We start from the raw sequence: 20,401 nt of genomic DNA, 5'->3' as shown, positions 1-20,401 counted from the left end.
CATCGTTTCCTAGCTAGGTGACCTTGAACGAGTTTCCTAAGCTCTGAGTGCCTCAGTCCCCTTAGAATATTGTCATGATGCTAAGTGAGAGAATATATGTGAAGTGCTTACAAGTATGCCATAAATGTTATTAGTGATATTGTTATTTTAAGAATAAAGTTAATGGATAAGGGAAAACAAAACCCTCCCACCACTCCATGACATCAGTTAGAAAGCCTATGAACCCAAAGGTTTACCTCTTCAAATGTAAAATAATTGTACAACTAGTACCTAAGACCACGCTATCTCTCTTGGCATATGGAATGTTTGTATTTGCCAGGGTTCTCTGGAGAAACAGAACTAATAGGATATATATATATACATATAGTGAGAGAGAGATATTTATTGATTGATATGTATATATAGTGAGAGATATTTATATATAGTGAGATATATATTTATTGATTTATTATATAAAATAAATATTATATATAATATATATTATAATGTTACAACTAGTACCTAAGATCACGTGACCTCTCTTTGCATATGGAGTGTTTGTATTGGCCAGAGTTCTCTGGAGAAACAGGACTAATAGGATATATATACATATAGTGAGAGAGAGATATTTATTGATTTATATATATAGTAAGAGATATATATAGTGAGATATATATTTATTGATTTATTATATATATTAAATATTATATATAATATAATATATATTATAATTTTACAACTAGTACCTAAGACCACGCGGCCTCTCTTTGCATATGGAATGTCTGTATTCGCCAGAGTTCTCTGGAGAAACAGGACTAATAGGATATACATATATATAAAATATACCTAATATATATATATCACTATATATAGTGAGAGATATTTATTAATTTATTTCATATTATATATTATATATATAATGAGAGAGGTATTTATTGATTTATCATAAGATGGAGAATGACAGATCCCAAGATCTGCAGTTGGCCAGCTGGCGACCCAAGAGAGACTATCACCACAGTCCCAGTGGTAGTCCAAAGGGCTGAGAACCAGGAGACCCGATGGCGTCATTCCATCCCAAAGGCTGGCAGCCTTGAGACCCAGGAAGAACTGATGTTTCAGCTGGAGTCCCAAAGCAGCATGTCCCAGATCGAGCAGTCAGGCAAGAGGACTTCCATCTGACTCACGGGAAGGCCAGTTCTACTCAGGCCTTCGACCGATTGGATGAGACTCACCTGCACCAGTGAGGGCTATTTGTTCACAGACACACCCAAGAACAACGTTTGACCAAATATCTGGGCATCCCGCGGCCCAGTCAAGTTGACACAGAAAATTAACCATCACAACGTCATTGACAGCATTATTGGCACTAATAATCCCTGGTATTCCAGGCAATCCTGATGCACATGAGCCCCTCCATCCCTCAGCTATGCTCCCTGCACACACCCCTCTAGAGCACAATGCACATTTGCTAGAATGTCCTGATTGTCCATCAAGGGTGAGAGCCACATCCTCAGAAAAAATGGCCCTCAGGCATCTGTGCTGGAAATAGCCATTCTTCCTTGGCCAACTGGTTTGCTTTTATCTTAAAAGCCCTAGATTCTGTCACTGACTCCTTTACCCACTGTCTGTTGAGAAGCTCATGGTGCAGTCTGTAGGGTACTTCCAGCCCGAGCTTCGTGCCTAATGGTATGTATTCCACATGCGGACCTCATCTTAGAACTGAACCTGTTACTCCCTCTGATCCTCATCTTCCCTTAACCTTCATTTCCTCACCTCATGATTCTTTCTTGTTCCATTCATGTTTTTGTTTTGTCTTGTTTTGAGACAGGGTCTTATTCTGTTGCCCAGGCCAGGGTGAAGTGGTGCAATCACAGCTCACTGCAGCCTCAAACTCAACCTCCTCAGCTCAGGTGATCCTCCCGCCTCCGCCTCCCATGTAGCTGGGACTACAGGTGCACGCTACCATGCCCGGCTACTCTTTTTATTTTGTATTTTGTAGAAGCAAGGTCTCACTATGTTACCCAGGCTGCACACATGCTTTTTTTAAAAACACACTTCAAGTTTATTTTAGAGCAAGGCAGGTATCCATGCAAGGAAGACATATGAGCGTGTCTTCACGAGCACATAGACCCAAGTAGGTTATTTAATCTTCCTCTCTCCACTACCTAGCACCTTGTCATTTTCCCCAAAACTGCTATTCAGTTGGCCTGATCTGCACTTTGATAGCCTGTTAAATTTCACCATATTTGTCATGTAAAAAATGTTCCAGGCGTCACCAAACTTCTGTATTTCAAAGACAAGGCCACACAGCCTTCTCATGCCTCTCCCTCTCCCAGAATTCCAGGAGCGTGATGACAAGTATTTCTCTGTAAGGGTCTTTGGGGTCTATACTTCTCCCCTAACCCAGAGGCCGGTTTAAACTCTCTCTGGGAAAAATTCCCATTTAATCGGCTTGAAGGTAGATCACAGAATTCTGAGATTCTATTATTTCAGAGTAATAGAAACGAGTCAGATGGACAGTTTTGAAATAGAAAATGGTCTCAAGAGTTAACAATTGATATCAAAGTTGGACTGAAAGATTAACCAGTTAAAGATTCCTGGTAGACCTGGCCAACATGGTAAAACCCCGTCTCCACTAAAAATACAAAAAATTAGCCGGGCGTGGTGGCGGGCACCTGTAGTCCCAGCTACTTGGGAGGCTGAGGCAGGAGAATTGCGTGAACCCGGGAGGCGGAGCTTGCAGTGAGCCCAGATCGCGCCACCGCACTCCAGCCTGGGCGACAGAGCGAGACTCCGTCTCAAAAAAAAAAAAAAAAGAGAGAGAGAGATTCCTGGTAGAGATAATTGTGGCTTCAGAGGAAAGGGAGGGAGGGGCAATGAGATTTGGGAAGGAAAGGAATGATTCAACTATCTTCGAAATGTTTTTCAACTAAAAAAACATCCAAAGCAGATATGACAAAAAGCCAGCATTTGTTAGACACAGGCGGTGGTTTGTTTGTTATATCACTCTCTGTGTATCTGAAATACTTTTAATTTGATAAATATATTTACTGGAAAAATTCTGTTTTTAAACAAAGATTTCTAGAGAAAATGAGCTTTATGCTGAACTTGAATAGATATTAGGGGCTTATCACCCAAGACAAAAAAAAATCTCTGGGGCCCATTCATTAGCAGAGGAGCCAAGGAACAGAGCAGAACACTAATTTATTTACCAGATCACAATTCCTCCTCGCTGAAATGGATTTAAGTGTTTTCACAGAGCTTCTGGCGTCCTAGTCCCTCTTTGTCACGGTCCGGCATATGAGACGGTTTTGTTTACAACTATGAAACGCTGCCAATCTCTTCAAAGACAACTGTACCCAGAAAAAGTGCATTACCTCATCTGACAAACTAATGTAGATGATAAAGAATCTTAAGAGTGCAGCCAAAAGTTAATTGACACTAATTTGAATAGTTACCAGGATTACAGATAATAATAATACCCTGCACAGAGTTTTGAGAGTTTCAAAAATCTCTTTATAAGTTTGATCCTGCATTGTTCTTGAAAGACCCTTGTGAAAGAGATTAGTAAAAACAGTATCCTATCTGGGATCACATCTAATAATTTCACAACCCATTCATTCTATCCAGTGATAAAAATGTATCACGTACCAATCAGATAAGTTTAGGGGTCAGGTGTCCTGAAGGATGCCAATATGAGCAAGCCGACATCCCGGCCTTAAAGAGCTCTCGATCAGATAGAGATCATATGACAGATACAGAAATAAATATAACGCAAGGCAGACAGTGCTAAGGCTTATAAGAGGGATGAAGGAATATCTTTCTGGAAGGAGAAAACATATCCAGTTTGACGAATTATGGCATTTGAATAACATGTAAGGTTTACAAATGTATAGATGGTGGGGGGTGGGGAGGATTCCATATAAATAAAAGGCTTTAAAAGCCAAGCTGCAGAGTTTAGACTGTATCTAGAAGGCAGTGGATACATTTTAGAGCACAGACAGGTATCTCTGGTTTTCAATATTTTTAAAACAGCTCTATTGAAATATAATTCATCCATTTATATTGTACAATTCTATGCTTTTTAGTATATTTACAGGGTTGTGCAACCATCATCGAATTTAGAACATTTTCATTATCTCCTAAAATAAATTCCATATGCATTAGCTGCAACGTCCCAATTCAGCCCCTGAGAATGAGGAATCTACATACTGTATCTACAGATTTGCCTCTTCTAGACACTTTATATCAAAGGAATCATACAATATGTCATCTTTTGTGTCTAGGTTCTTTCACTTACCATAATATTTCAATGAATGAACCACACTTCATTCCTTTTCACTGCCAAGTAATATTCCATTATATAGATCATGCCACATTTTGTTTATCCATTCTTCAGTTGATAGACATTTGGGTTGTTTCTATTTGGGGGCTATTATGAATAATGTTGCTATAAACATTCATGTACAAGGTTTTGTGGATACATGTTTTTTCATAACAAGGGTAGAATTGTTGGGTCATATGATAACATTGTGTTTAACTCTCTGAGAAAGTGCCAAGTTCTCTTCCACAGGGGCTATATCGTTTCACATTTTCTTTTCTTTTTTTTTTTTTTTTTTTTTGAGGAGTCGTCTCGCTCTGTCACCCAGGCTGGAGTGCAGTGGTGCGATCTCGGCTCACTAAAGCTCTGCCTACCGGGTTCAAGCCATTCTTCTGCCTCAGTCTCCCGAGTAGCTGGGACTACAGGCGCCCGCCACCACACCCGGCTAATTTTTTGTATTTTTAGTAGAGACGGGGTTTCACCATGTTAGCCAGGATGGTCTCGATCTCCTGACCTCGTGATCCACCTGCCTCGGCCTCCCAAAGTGCTGGGATTACAGGCGTGAGCCACTGCGACCGGCCTCATTTCACATTTTCAACAGCAATGTATAAGGATTCAATTTCTCCACATCCTCATCAACACTTCATATTGTTTATCTTTTTTATTCTAGCCATGCGAGTATAAATGAGGGGTATCTCATTGTAGTTTTGACTTGTGTTTCCCTGATAGCTAATGCTGCTGAATTATCTTTTCATGTGTTTATTGGCCATCTGTATATCTTCTTTGGAGAAATGTCTATTCAAATCTTTTACTCATTTTTATAATTGACTTGTCTTTTTATTATTGAGTGGCAAGAGTCTTTCATATATTCTGGGTACAGGTTCTTTATCAAATATGTGATTTGCAAAAATTTTCTCCCATTCTGTGGGTTGCTTTTGTCATTTTCTGGATGGTACCATTTGCAACAAAAAAAGCTTTCCATTTTGATATAGTCCCAAGTCATCTATTTTTTTCGTTTGTCCCTGTGCTTTAGATTTTCCCACATATTTTGTCAGCATACTCTTTGATTTTCTCTTCACATGACAACAATTTTGTTATATCAATTTTAGAGAGAAAACAGAAACCTAATTCAGTCCTCTCTCTAGCATGGGGGTGGTGATTTTTAAAAACATATAGCTTAAAAATGTTTCCATGTCCTGGTTCTGGCTCTGTATCTTTTTCCTCCACTATACCCACACTTCTGGTGCTGGACACTACACAGCACATTCATATCATGACTCAACCTCTGGGCCTGGGCAAGCTGGCACAATGGGCAGGAGGAAGCCATTTCTGCACTGAGACCTCTCATAATCATTTTTTTTTTTAAAGATGGGTCTGTCTCGTTCTGTCACTTGGTCTGGAGTCCAGTGGTGCAATCATGAATCACTCAGTTTGGACTGCAGTGGTGTGATCATAGCTCACTGCAGCCTCAAACATCCGGGAGGCTGAGGTAGGCAGGCATGTAGGTAGACGGATGGATGGATGGATGGATGGATGGAGGGATGGACGTATGGATGGATGGACAGGCAGACAGGCAGACAGGCAGATGGATAGATAGACAGATAAAAGAAAGGCTTGCAGTATTAGGCTACATCTGAATTTTTTTTAGACTTGGGCTTGTCTGCAAACTGGTGAAAAATCAATAAAGCAACTTCCCAGAGATACCCAAAGAGAAGGGATACTTCCTCCTCAAAGTTAGTGAAGGCACATATTTCTGACGATTCAAGAGCCAAATCTAAAATGATACCAACTGCATTTTGTTTCATTGGTCAGACATGCCTTCCTGAATAAAAACATCCTCCTGATTCCCCAATCGCAAGGCAATTAGCAGAAGCACTTGCCATCAACTACTGAGCCTTGCTCTGGTCTTGTTTAGCAATTGGATTGATCAGAGAGGAGAGGAGGTATACCTGGATATCGATGGGTCTCCATGTTTAGAACCATCTCTAGAGGGAATATATCAAAACCTCACTCCCTGCTATCACAAAAGAATGAGACTGGAATCCATCTGAAATCCCATCAGATTTATTTGTTATTAGTACTTTTTCTTTCTCCCAAAGACAGTGTAAGATGTGCCCCCTGGGTCTGTGGCTGGCTTATACTCCTGCAACTGGAATGCTGCTTTATTCTTCCTTAGTGTAAAAAGATCTGCAAATCTGTGAGCTTCCCCCTGGGATCCTCGTTGAAGCAGGGAAGATGGTGGAGTTGGAAAACTTCCCAACATAGTCATTAACTCGAGAAGTATCACATTTACTCTGTGGAGGAGGCTGCACCTGTACTGAGTGTCTTCACAGTCTCACACCTCCTTCCCTCTTCATGTGGTGTCACAGCCAAAGACGATGTCACTTTGTGGCACAAGAGCCAGTAATAATTGTGTGCACCTCAGGCAGGACTTGCTGAAGAGGGCAGAAGGGCCCAGTGCAGCTAGGGTGCCTTATGTATATTTTATCAGTGTTTGCTCTAAAGCAGAAGTTTCTTTTAGTTTTGATTTTGGGGGAATTCCATGTTTCCTTCACAGCACCTTTAGTTAATATAAGAAACTACTACTGTTAGATAGTCTTACGGTGTGCAGGCAATAATTAGCCAGATGCAAACAATTAACAAATCCAAATTAATTCTGCTAAGATTGTGCGAATAAATCATGTAAGTTGATGTACTGAGTTCAATGTCAGGGCTGGAAAGGATCTTTAAGAACATTTAGGGCCGGGCGCGGTGGCTTACGCCTGTAATCCCAGCACTTTGGGAGGCCGAGGCGGGCGGATCACGAGGTCAGGAGATCGAGACCATCCTGGCTAACACGGTGAAACCCCGTCTCTACTAAAAATACAAAAAATTAGCCGGGCGTGGTGGCGGGCACCTGTAGTCCCAGCTACTCGGGAGGCTGAGGCAGGAGAATGGCGTGAACCCGGGAGGCGGAGCTTGCAGTGAGCCGAGATCGCGCCACTGCACTCCGGCCTGGGCGACAAAGCGAGACTCCGTCGCAAAAAAAAAAAAAAAAAAAGAACATTTAGTTTAGTTCAACAAATTCATTTTACAGCAGATAAGGGAATTCAGGTGCAGCAAAGTAAAGAAATGTGTTTAAGGTCAGTGGATGTGTTACAAGTAGGACTGAGAACAGAACCCAGATTTCCCGGTGTATTCTAATTTTCTAATCACCATGTAAATGTCCATTTGCCATTTCTTTCTTTTTTTTTTTTTTTTTTTTTTTTTGAGACAGAGTCTTGCTCTATTGCCCAGGCTGGAGTACAATGGCACGATCTTGGCTCACTGCAACCTCCGCCCCCAAGGTTCAAGCGATTCTCCTGCCTCAGCTTCCTGAGTAGCTGAGATTACAGGCACCCGCCACCACGCCCAGCTAATTTTCGTATTTTTAGTAGAGACAGGGTTTCACCATGTTGGGCAGGCTGGTCTCAAACTGCTGACCTCTTGGTCCGCCCACCTTGGCCTCCCAAAGTGCTGGGATTACAGGTGTGAGCCACCGCACCCCGCACATTTGCCATTTATATTGCCACGTACTTCCTTATGTTTTAGAAGAAATAACAAATTCCCTGATATGTTGGGAAATTCCTCGATGTTTCTTACTGCTTCTGTGACACAGAAAAAGGAGGGAGGAGGTGAGGACTGTGATGAGAAAGCTATTAAGTTCCTTGCTGCTGAATTGATGGCACCACTGCCTTCAACACTCTATCCAGGAACCACCCATCTTGAGCACTCTATCCAAACAATATAATGTCCAATTTTGGTTGCATAAAACTGGATGCTATCACATGACTCAATGCATTTGGACATGTATGTGCACGGCACAACTATCACGTTCTAGAAATAATCCCAAAACGGTATCTTCACCACATTATGAGCTTTCTCTCCCAAGACGAGATTATTGAGGCCAGCAAAGGCTGACACTCCTTATGGCATCAGAGTAAATATATATTAGATTTTTCTGACTCGTACTGACAAACATAATCCGGTTGCTTTGATTACATATCAACAAACAGGACCTTGATTATGAAGCAGCAAATAGACTGATGTCACATTCATTAGAAATGCGGGAAAGATGATGGGAAAATGCCTGCTTACAGATGTACTCACGAATGTTATGACAACAGAGAAAACCAAATTCTTCATTCCTGACAATCAAGTGGTAGAGTTTATGGACCCTGCTATTCCACTTATTCCAACACTGACAGAAAACAATGAGAATGGGTTAGAAGGACTGAAACAAAAGTGGATTCTGAGGACACAGAAAGTGAACAACAACTGGGGGGTTGATCCTACTTAGCCTTTCAAGGTGCTGGGGATACCGTTTTTACACATCTCAACAATGGCTGAATAATCTGGAGGTTGCAATCTTCACACTTATTGATAAATAATTGGGTACTAGAAGGCACAGGGCTTGACCAGGGATTTCTTTGAGATCCAATTGAGCTTTTGCGGTTCACCCACAGGCTGTTAAGCTTTGAACCAGATTCACTTAGCGGTAAGCATTTGAAATGATAACAGCAATATAACATTTCCTCTCTTCTGAAGAGCTCTCTGATGCGGGCTTCAGAGAACAAAGCCCATCTGACAGATGAAGACGTGCCTACAAGTTAAGATACAGGGCCAATGACAGGGTGATCTGGGACTCCGCGCCAAGTCCAAGAATCCTACTGGGTCCAACCCCCAGAGTACCACTAAGCAGCCCGGCCAGACTTTGGCCAGGCAGCCACTTTCATGCACTGCCGGGCTGTCCATTTCTATAAACACGCAGCTGAAGAGACGCCAGGAATATCTCCAAAACAGAAAGCCCTGCTTTTGTCTGAGAAAGCTGCTCTGACCCCAAAGGAATGCACAATAGGAAATGAAAGTTGGACAGAAAATCAATTCCAACAGGAAACAGGAGGATCCCTGCTCAAGCTCAGTTCCAAGATATATCACTGTAATAACCCAGAGCAGCCTGGCCAGGGAGCCTCGGCCTCCACTCCTGCATGCGGCAGGAAGGCGGGAGAAGAAAGTGGCCCAGGGAAACCACAGTAGAGCCATGGCCATCCGCTGTCATTTCAATGAGGTTTAAATTCATTTGTGCCTCGGCCGAGCGTGGTGGCTCACGCCTCTAATCCCAGCACTTCAGGAGGCCGAGGCGGGTGGATCACCTGAGATCAGGAGTTCGAGACCAGCCTGGTCAACATGGCGAAACCCCCATCTCTACTAAAAATATAAAAATTAGCCAGGTGTGGTGGTGCGCACCTGTAATCCCAGCTACTGGGGGGCTGAGGCAGGAGAATCGCTTGAACCCAGGAGGCAGAGGTTGCAGTGAGCTGAGATAGCATCACCGCACTCCAGCCTGGGTGACAGAGTGAGACTCCATTTCAATAAAAAAATTAAAAATTCGGCCGGGCTTGGTGGCTCACACCTGTAATCCCAGCACTTTGGGAAGCCGAGGCGGGTGGATCACCAGAGGTCAGGAGCTCGAGACCAGCCTGGTCAATATGGCGAAACCCCGTCTCTACTAAAAACACAAAAATTAGCCAGGTGTGGTGGTGTACACCTGTAATCCCAGCTACTCAGGAGGCTGAGGCAGGAGAATCACTTGAACCCGGGAGGCAGAGGTTGCAGTGAGCCAAGATCGTGCCACCGTACTATAGCCTGGGCAACAGAGCAAGACTCTGCCTCAAAAAAAAAAAAGAAAAAAGAAAAAAAATAATTCATTTGTGCCTCTATCAATGAAGGGATGATGATTGTGTTTTAAGAGGAACTTGAACCAAAGACAGAAAACCCTTTTTAAAAAGGAGAGGTAGAAGTAATGAGTTGGCTTGACCTGGGACTCCACACCAAGTCCAAGAATTCTACTGGGTCCAATCCCCAGAGTAGAACGAAGCAGCCCAGCCAGACTCTGGCCGGGCAGCCACTTTCATGCACTGCCTGGCTGTCTATTTATATAAACACACAGGTGAAGAAATCTTAATAAAATGAACTTGCATTGAGCAAATCAATAGACTGTAATTCCCCACAAGAAGAAACTGCTATCTTTGGAGGTTCCACTCAACAAATAGTTGCTGTTAGGTCACGATCTGGGCCAAGTACTAGAAATAGAAAGATGATAAGATAAACTTATCCATACCAGGATTTCAGCTAGGCAGCAGGACACTGTGTTTTCACCAAAACGACTAGAAGTCTCTTCACAGAAGGACATTTTGCAATGTCTGCTATCCTCAGTTTCCCTGCTGGAACAATGGGAACCCAGTTCAAGACATCAACAGAGATGTTCCCAGGAAGCTCTCAGCCTCTCCTCGCAATCTCTGACTCACTTTGCCAGCCTATTAAATGGGTCGTCTGCAGACCTTAGTCATGAGAGTTACTACAGTACAAGGAGACTTATTTAGTAAATGGCCTGGTAAGTTGCTTAAAATGGTGGCTATTGCTGATATTATTTACTCGAATGGGATTTTGTTTTCCAGCTGGTACAGCAGAACGGTAGAAAGCATTCTGGATGTGGACCCCGCAGATAAGCTCTCCAGATCCAGCTCTGACCAATGTTAGCTGGGCAACCTTGGACATGCCCCCTAACTTCTCTGAGCCTCCGTTTCCTCATGAGATGGGGACACCTGCTGAACTCTGTCTCAGGACTGTTGTAAGAACTGAAAGAAGTTTTTTATGCAAAAGTAATATGAAAATTCTAAAACATTTTGCAAACTACTTAATTTTCATTACAATCTTCCTAATAATGTTTTTCTTACATTAGATATAAAATTAATTTGCCTTTCCTATGAAAATACCATCTGATAGTAGAAGGTCAGCTGGGTGAGGAAAAGCTGGCACGACATCAGAAATTATCCTTTATCCTTTTACAACCCATCATGTGGGCGACCCAAACTCAAAAAAAAAAAAAAAAAAAAAAACCCAGAATTGGATGTAAATGCAGTGTGACAGCCTTTCATTTGATCACACTTATTGGAAAAAGGATTTCATTTTCTGCACTAGACTCTGGGCAGCAAATAGGGCTGAAGGTAGTAAAGGCTGGCACCAACGCAATAATAATAAGGAACAGAATAAAAACAATGCGCCTGTTCAAACTGAGCTCTGGGAATGAGCGTTAAGCTAAAAGGCAGGCGGGAGGCAGCGAGCTGGGTTAGGAACACAAACAGGTTTAGTAATCAATCCAAAATCACAGTTGTGAAAACCACATAAAATGCCATCTGGCCTCCTGGATCGTGTAGAACATTAAGCAAAGGCAGCCTTCCAAGACACATGTTCTCATTTCTCTGAGAACAGCGCTTCTCCTTACCCAATCAACTGTGAAAGAGTCACCCAGATCCTGGTCCAGTGTTTCCGCCTTTGCCAGAATTGTTCGGAATGCTAGCGAAACAGCTCGCGGATCATGGGCAGCGGAGGCTGTTCATCCCTGATGTTTTCTGGATTTGGAGAGCTAATTGGTGACATGTGGGGTCTCTCCTGCTTTCCACACACTGCTATGACCACTGCCATCTTCCTCCTGCCTTAAAGACATATCTAAGCATAGCTTGTCAGCTATTCTGAAAACTAATTTTCTGTGTGGTATATGTAACATGAGAGTTATCAATTTAACCATTTTTAGGTGTACTATTCAAGAGCATGAAGTACATTAATGCAGTGGTTCATACATTGTTTTGCAACCATCACCAATCGCCATGCCCAGAACTTTTTCACTTTCCCAAACTGAAACTCGGCACCCATTCTCCCTCCCTCTAGCTGCTGGCAACCTCTATTCTACTTTCTTTCTCTATGATTTTGCCTGTCACATGAGCAAAACCATACAATGTTTGTGCTTTTGTGTTTAGCTTATTTCACTTGGCATAATGTCTTCAAGGTTCATGTTACCGCTATAGCACGTATCTTTCATTCTTTCTCCACGCTGAAGAATATGCCATTGTATGCATAGACCACATTTTGTTTATCTCTTCATCCATCAATGGACTCTAGAAACTAATATTTGTATAGTATGAGCCTACTCGTAGTGAATGAAGGTAAAATTTCCTTATGAGTTAGAACATTAGGGCTGGGCGCGGTGGCTCATGCCTGTCATCCCAGCACTTTGGGAGGCTGAGGCAGGCAGATCACCTGAGGTCAGGAGTTTGAGACCAGCCTGGCCAACATGGTGAGAGCCCGTCTCTACTAAAAATACAAAAATCAGCTGGGTGTGGTGGTGGGAGCCTGTAATCCCAGCTACTTTGGAGGCTGAGGCAGGAGAATCACTTGAACCTGGGAGGTGGAGGTTGCAGTGAGCCAACATCACACCACTGCACTCCAGCCTGGGCAACAGAGCAAGACTCTGTCTCAAAAACAAACAAACAAACAAACAAACAAAAACTGATGCCCATCAGGCATCAGTCTTTCAGATTCACAAGCACACACAACATCTGCCACCATGGTGTCCCATCTCCAAGCCACGAGGCTATGGGTTCAGGGAGGACAGAAACCATGTCCTCATTTGACCCTAGTCCCACTCCCATCAACTAGCACAGTACAGAGTAAACCCATAAATGTTTGATAAAGGACTAAGTAATACATTTTTTCCTTAGGCAGAGCCTACTCCTTTTCTCTAAGTCCAATTATTTTCTAAAAAATCATAGTTTCTCAGAGGATATTTCCTCCAAAGAAAGGCTTTCAAAAGACAATTGTGACTCTAATTTTTCAAGGCAAAATTTATTGAATCAGCAAACCAGAAAGACAGTGTATGGCAGTAGAAAGAATAATAGACATGGAATCAGCAAAGACTCAAATCCCACCTCTGCCTTCCACTTGGCTGTGTGACCTTAGTTAAGTCACCTGGCCTCTCTGAATTTCAGTTTCATCATCTGTAAACATGGAAATAATAAAAATTGCTCTTTTTTATTTTTTGAGACAGAATCTCACTCTGTCACTCAGGCTGGAGTGCAGTGACGTGATCTCGGCTCATTGCAACCTCTACCTCCTGAGTTTGAGCGATTCTCCTGCCTCAGCCTCCCAAGTAGCTGGGATTACAGGTGTGTGCCACCACGACCGGCTAATTTTTGTATTTTTAGTAGAGATGGGGTTTCACCATGTTGGCCAGGCTGGTCTTGAACTCCTGACCTCTGGTGATCCACCCACCTTGGCCTCCCAAAGTGTTGGGATTACAGGCGTGAGCCACCATGCCTGGCCTTCACAGAGTTACTTTGAGAATCAAATAAAATCTCCAGAGCTGACAATTTATATTAACACAGTTCATACTATTAAGTTTGGGTAGGTCAGTTCTGCTTGCTTCAGCATATACACAGAAAAACAAGGCCTGTGTTGCTCTTAAGCGTGCTAGCTAAAAAGTCGGGACATAAATGAAATGATTCAAGAGTGCTTACAAGTTCTGTGTGGAAAAACTACAAAATGAAGTACAGTCCTGAGATGAGGCCAGAAAAAGAATTTTTGAAGAGCTGAATGTTGACTGAGCTCCCTAGGAAAATGGCGGGCATGAATCAGCAGGGAGCAGAGGGGATGGAATTCTAGACACATGATGGAAAGTTCATAAAGACGAGGACGTGGAAGCCAGTAGCTGGGCAGGGAAAAGTGAGGCCGACTTCGTGAGCAAGGATTTTGTTCCTAACATTCTGGGCATCCCATGGCGATGGGAAAGCAGGGGATCTGGAGTCTGAATCCCGCAGGGATGGTCCTTTGGCTGCACGTCCCCCACCCAGGACTGACCTTGGTGCACACTGTGCGGCTCCAAACCCACTTCCAGCAGCTGCCCGGTGGCACCTGTGTCGGGGCCCTTATATCCCCACTCAGATTACGACCCACATCTCTGAACTATTCTGCTTGCCTCTGGTTCTGAACACACTCCAATCTTGTAATCATGGAGATTCAGAATGTCTTATTAAGGGGTGTCAGCCAGTGAGATGGTTCTTCAGCACAGAACCTGTGAGAAGACAGACTTCAGTTAACACAGATATTAGTCACTTGCTCCTAAGTGGGGAATGCCATATGTAACACTGCGCACCCCTGTTCTCTGAATTTACCTTGGGTAAATATCCTAGCCCATAAGAAAAAAAAAAAGACAAAACGTGAAAGGTTGCTGAACCCTAAAACTTCCTTCCCCAAAGTCATAGGTCCTAGTAGCATGTACAACCCAATTCAATAAACTCTAAGCATTTTAGGCTGGCAAACAACCAGACTCTGAACATCTAATGAACGTCTGTCATGTGTTCAACATTACGCTAGATGCAGGAGGTACAAAGATGAATAATGGAGAGGCAGAGAAGTGTCCACATAAGTTCAAGTGTGAACCAGAGCTGTGTCAGGCCAACTCAAGTTCTAAACACAGTTTCACGCCCATTCAGGCCTCCTTATTCCTCAAGGCCATCAAGTCAAGGCAAATCCACCCAAGCCACCCTCAGAATGCAGCCCAAAGAGTTTCTCAGGCAAATCCAGCGTGCTCAGAACTAGTTGGAAGAATTTTTTCTAAATGGACTTACAGGATATCTTACTTCCAATTAGTTCTAGTCCATGAAAAGTAATATTTCCAGTAAGGACTTAAGAAAATAGTAAACAGAATCGTCATCTCTAATGTTCAAATGATCTCTTCCCAGTTCACTCTCGTCACCTCCTTCCTGGCTCACCATGTGTGCAAATGCGTCAACATCTCATGTGCTTTCAACACAGACTGAAAACGCCACTGAATGTGAAATCAAATGAGACCTTGAGAGGCAGGGATTATGATTTCATTCACTAAATGAACTGATGATATGGATGTGAGGACAGGAACCCATGATACGGACCCATGGGTAGAGTTCTCTGTGTCTTCCTTAAACTCGACCTTAGCCATCTGCCACTGCCCAGTTCAACCTTATTCTTCTAAGCCTGCGTCTGTATCACACAAATGACTAGTTGAGTCAAGCAGTCAACCGGTTCCATTTTGTGAAAAATCAATTAAAAAACTGACTGAATTGACCATTTGTTGAACTGAAGTATCAAAATAATTCAGCTAAAATTTTAAACCAATGGTGTGTGTAAACATTTCCCTAGGATGTATAAAGTTATATCGAATGTTTGAAAAGGGTTATTTTCTCTCCATCCCAAATAACAGGTTTTTTAAAAACATGTTTATGCTTCATTATTTATGTCTTGATTGGTGTCACATACTATACGGGCCCTAACTCTCTGCAATTTTCCCCATGAGTTGAAAGAGACTAGGATGTACTTTAGAAAATATGAGAGCAGTCAAAAACAGAAGCATCTGCAGAACTCAGCCTGGCTCCCTCAAGAACCCAGCCGGGCACAGTGGCTCACGCCTGTAATCCCAGCACTTTGGGAGGCCGAGGCAGGTGGATCACTTGAGATCAGGAGTTCGAGACCAGCCTGGCCAACATCGTGAAACCCCATCTCTACTAAAAATACAAAAATTAGCCAGGTCTGTTGGTGGGTGCCTGTAATCCCAGCTACTCGGGAAGCTGAGACAGGAGAATTGCTTGAACCCGGGAGGTGGAGGTTGCAGTGAGCCGAGATCATGCCCCTGCACTCCAGAAGCCTGGGTAACAGAGCGGGACTCTGTCTCAGGGAAAAAAAAGTAATAATAATAAGAACTAGTCTGAACCCTTTCCTGGTCTCCACTTCCAGAAATTCTCTTCTCTCTATTCCTAATACAGCTAGACCAAAAAAGAAATTCAACCATTTAGATAAAAAACCAAAAGCCTGCTACATACCTGGTTGAGTTTCACATTGTTCAAGGGTAGTCTTGTTAACTTTGACTCCTTAGGAAGACAAGTCAACTCATAAAGCAATTCAGAAAAAGGAAAGGAATTATTGTAAAATTTTGAAAGAAAAGCTATCCAACTCCTCCAAAGATGTAAGATGGGACTGCGCAGAGGAACCGTGGAAGGATTGTCCTGTATAGTTAGACCCTCATGCTTTGCTTCTTGCCTTGAGAACAGAATAAGAGAGGGAGGGGAGGGGAGAGGGGGAGACTTACCACAGATCCTCTCACTTTATGACTTGGAGGGAAATGAGAGCCTGGAGACCCCGTGGGAGGTTTCCAACACAACTGTGCCACCTTCCATTTCTATAGCTCCTTTCTCTGAAAAACCTCTAAGCGTTTTATGAACCTTGCCATAGACTCCGTGTACACAGCCCCTCAGGACACAACACAGGCCACCATCATGGTCTATATTCTTTAAAGGAAGAACTCAAAACAGTCAAACAGACTTATTTCTCACCCGGATTCTGCCCATGGAAAATCAGAGTTTTAACTTGCAAATTCAAAGACTTATTCATATTGATGCTTCTTCCAAGAAGACAAAGCAAAATGACTACATTCCATTTTATACATTTTCCTAAACAAAAAAATAAAAAGAAATCGGCTGGGTGCAGTAGCTCACGCCTGTAATCCCAGCACTTTGGGAGGCCGAGGCGGGCAGATCACCTGAGGTTGGAAGTTCAAGACCAGCTTGACCAAAATGGAGAAACCCCATGTCTACTAAAAATACAAAATTAGCCGGGCATGGTGGCACAAGCCTGTAATCCCAGCTACTCAGGAGGCTAAGGCAGGAGAATTGCTTGAACCCGGGAGGTGGAAGTTGCGGTGAGTGGAGATTGCGCCATTGCACTCCAGCCTAGGCAACAAGAGTGAAACTCCATCTCCAAAAAAAAAAAAAAAAGGAAAGAAAGAAATCTTCCTTCTTTAATGACCAGGCTTTTGCCCAAGAATCTCTTCACTACCAGGAGCCATCTGCTGTGAGGCTCAATTCTACCTTCAAAGACCTGGAAGCCACCAGGGCTGGGGGAATCAGATCTGGGCACTTTGTTCATTTGTGTCAGGAGCAGAGTCCACGCTGGTCATTTGTTCCCCATACCTGACCAAATCCATGCCCTGCAAGGGTCCAACCCCACAACATCTCCTGTGGCCGTCAACCACCCCCTCCTGCAGCATAGTGTCAATCCCAGTGTCATCATCTCTGCTGCCAGCTCCCCAGACTCAGCCATCACCAAAACAGACTGATCAGGACATTGCCAAGCAAAAACAAAACAAAAGAGACAAACCAAGTAGAAGACAGAGCGAAAACAAGGTTTTTCTTAGCCTTGGGGATAGGATTAGGAAAGATTAAACACACACACACATACACACACACAAGACTTGAGTCAAAAGCCTCTCTCAATTACATTTCTCAGATTTTATTATATTATCTTTGTGGCACAGTTATTAAACATTAAAGATAATGACTTCATTCTGTAAGTAACCTAATATTGAACATGATTGATAAGCAGACCTGGGCTTTGAAGAAAACTCTGAATGTTAAAATTCAGGAGCAGGGACGGCACCGAAGCAGTTTGGGCCACAAGGTTAATGAACTGTCAGCCAGAGGGTGGCTGCAGATGTTTCATTAGGAGGAAGCTGTGTTGTTATGACATTGCTTCTGTGACCCAGCGAGAACCGAGGGAAGGTGGAAAGGGAAATGGCCTAGCAGATACACATCTGGTTGACTCCACTGACAGTGATCTGCCAGCCACTTCCAGAATCATTCAGTGAAGTTAGAGAAATGCTGCCTGAAGATGCTCCCGGGAGACAGCGCCAGAAGGAAGGCCTCTGTGTCACACAGAAAACCAGATGCCTAAGGCAGTGAAAGGTGTTGCTGAGTTACCACATTTTTTAAATGACATCCAATGAAAAGGTAAAATAGTACCCAATGGGGGGAATATGGGCAAGGGGGAAGTAGAGGCAGGTGAAGCACCTGCTCTGAGATCCCGAGGAAAAGGAGCCGTGCACCATCCCCTCTAAAGTGAGCCACTAGCAAGGACCGTTTGAGGACTTACACGGCGACACTGAGCCCCTCTGCCGCCTTGCCAGCCAGCCAGCCCACATCAGAATGAATGGGGGTTGCACCACCGGGCAGCTGGCAGTGACGGTTCCCTCTCTTCCCCAGTGCACCAGCTTCCGGTGCCCCATGTGCACTCAAGGCTGAGAGGACAGTCTGGAACAGAGCTCAGAGGGTTTCGAAGACTGCACACTCAAGATTTGAACAAATACCATGACAAGGTTCTCAGTAACTTTAGTGCGAATTCGATGTCATCGGATTGCTTTCTTCCTCACACCCCGCTGGGTAGAGTGTTTTGATGGTGGAGAATGGAAGGAATTTCATGTCCAGCCTTGCACGCCTCTACATGTATTATCTATGCAGCCCAGGATGATTTTAAAAAGTAAATTGGGTCACCTCCCCTGTGTCTGTAACCCTTCAACAGCTTTCCAGTCATCTCTTGGGAAAGTGCCTTGGCTCACCCAGCCCCAGGAGACCCGGTCTGGCACACCTCTGCCATCCCTCACCCCTGAGCTGAAGCCATTCTGTCCTCTCCCAGTTTCCTGCACCAGGGCCCTTCTGCACACTCCCTCTCTCTGAAAAGTGCTCCACCGTACCGTCTCTGGGCCCCACACTGTCACCGCCACCTCCTCCATGGCGAGAACACCCCTTCCTACCCACCTCTTAGGTCGCAGCTTAAATGCCAGGTCCTCAACAAGGCAGGTCCCCTCTGTTACCTGTTTCTAGTCAAACATCCATTTCGTAGTTTCTAGTCAAACATCCATCTTTCCCAGTGGAGAACAGGAATCTGTCTTTCTTGCTCACTGCTGTGGTCCCGTCGGGTGTGGGGTCTAGTTTATACAAGATGCTCAGGAGAACAGTAGGTGTCCAGGATGTATCACCCATTGAATAGGAGGACCTGGGCGCTGACAGCCACACAAGGCCTGCATGCTTGGGTCACAAAGCAGTGGAGGGATCAGGGAATAGGAGATGGGGAAGGGCAGGGATTCAGAATGCAACCAAAGAGAAATTTTATCTTCTTTGGAAGACTTTCCAAGACTTGGGCTAAATCTAATACTTGTTGGACTCAAAGTAGTCAAGTGCTTTAGAGTACCTACACTATGCCAAGAATAATAGATTGTTTGCAAAAATGTCCTCAATTACTCTCCTCCACGTATCCCTGCCTCTTTAAAACCTATCTTTGCAGTTCCTCCTCTCAAAGAAGTCAGTTTTCCTTCCCTTTAAGTCAGGACTGGCTCTGTGACTTCTGCAGCCAAGAAAATACAGCAGAAGTGATGATGTGCCAGTTGAGCCTGGGCCTCAAGAGGTCATGCATACTTCTGCTCCCTTTCTTACAGCCCTGCCCAGTTGCCACTTGAAAAAGCCCAGGCTAGCCTTCTGGAAGATAAAAGATCACAGGGAAAAGAGACAACACCCCCAGCTGAGGCCTACTTAGAACACCCAGCACTCAACGGCCTGGAAGCTGACCACAGACACATGAGGGAGCCCAGCTGAAACCAGCACTGACCAGCTGGGCCAGCCTAAACTGCTAGTCTGCAGAATCATGGCTAAATAGCTGCTGTTTTAAGACACTAAGTTTTGCAGTGGTTTGTTATGCAGCAATAGATAACTGATACACCAAGTAGGGTTAGAGGCATTTGAACCAGAGCAACTCCATCTTGAATAGGAGCTGGGTAAAATGAGGCTGTGACCTGCTGGGCTGCATTCTTAATCACAGGATGAGACAGGAGGTTGGCACAAGATACAGGTCATAAACACCCTGCCGATAAAACAGGTTGCAGTAAAGAAGCCGGCCAAATCCTACCAAAACCAAGATGGCCACGAGAGTGACCTCTGGTCGTCCTCACTGCTACACTCCCACCAGCACCATGACAGTTTACAAATGCCATGGCAACATCAGGAAGTTACCCTACATGGTCTAAAAAGGGGAGGCATGAATAATCCACCCCTTGTTTAGCATATCATGAAAAAATAACCATAAAAGTGGGCAACCAGCAACCCTCGGTTCTGATCTGTCTGTGCAGTAGCCATACTTTTGTTTCTTTACTTCTCTAATAAACTTGCTTACACTTTATGGACTCATCTAGAATTCTTTCTTGCATAAGATCCAAGAACCCTCTCATGGAGTCTGGATCGGAACTCCTTTCCAGTGACAGTAGGTACTGAAAATGCAGACATGAGTAAGGTATACCTAGGTGAGACAGACACTACTTCCATTCATTCATTCATTCATTCATTCATTCATTCAATAAAGGTTTGATTAAGCACCTACTGAATGCTAGGCTCT

General features: G+C 43.8%; 1 protein-coding gene across 1 annotated transcript in view; it reads right to left on the bottom strand.

Annotated features, from left to right (window-relative positions):
• The window catches only part of KIF26B (kinesin family member 26B), a 554,448-nt gene that overhangs the window by 398,895 nt on the left and 135,152 nt on the right, over nt 1-20,401 (bottom strand). The window lies entirely within an intron of this gene.

Source organism: Homo sapiens, chromosome 1 (assembly GCF_000001405.40).
Source record: "Homo sapiens chromosome 1, GRCh38.p14 Primary Assembly".
Taxonomy (NCBI): Eukaryota; Metazoa; Chordata; class Mammalia; order Primates; family Hominidae; genus Homo; species Homo sapiens.
Note: the sequence above shows the minus strand (reverse complement) of the source record. Positions and strands in the feature narration are given on the sequence as shown.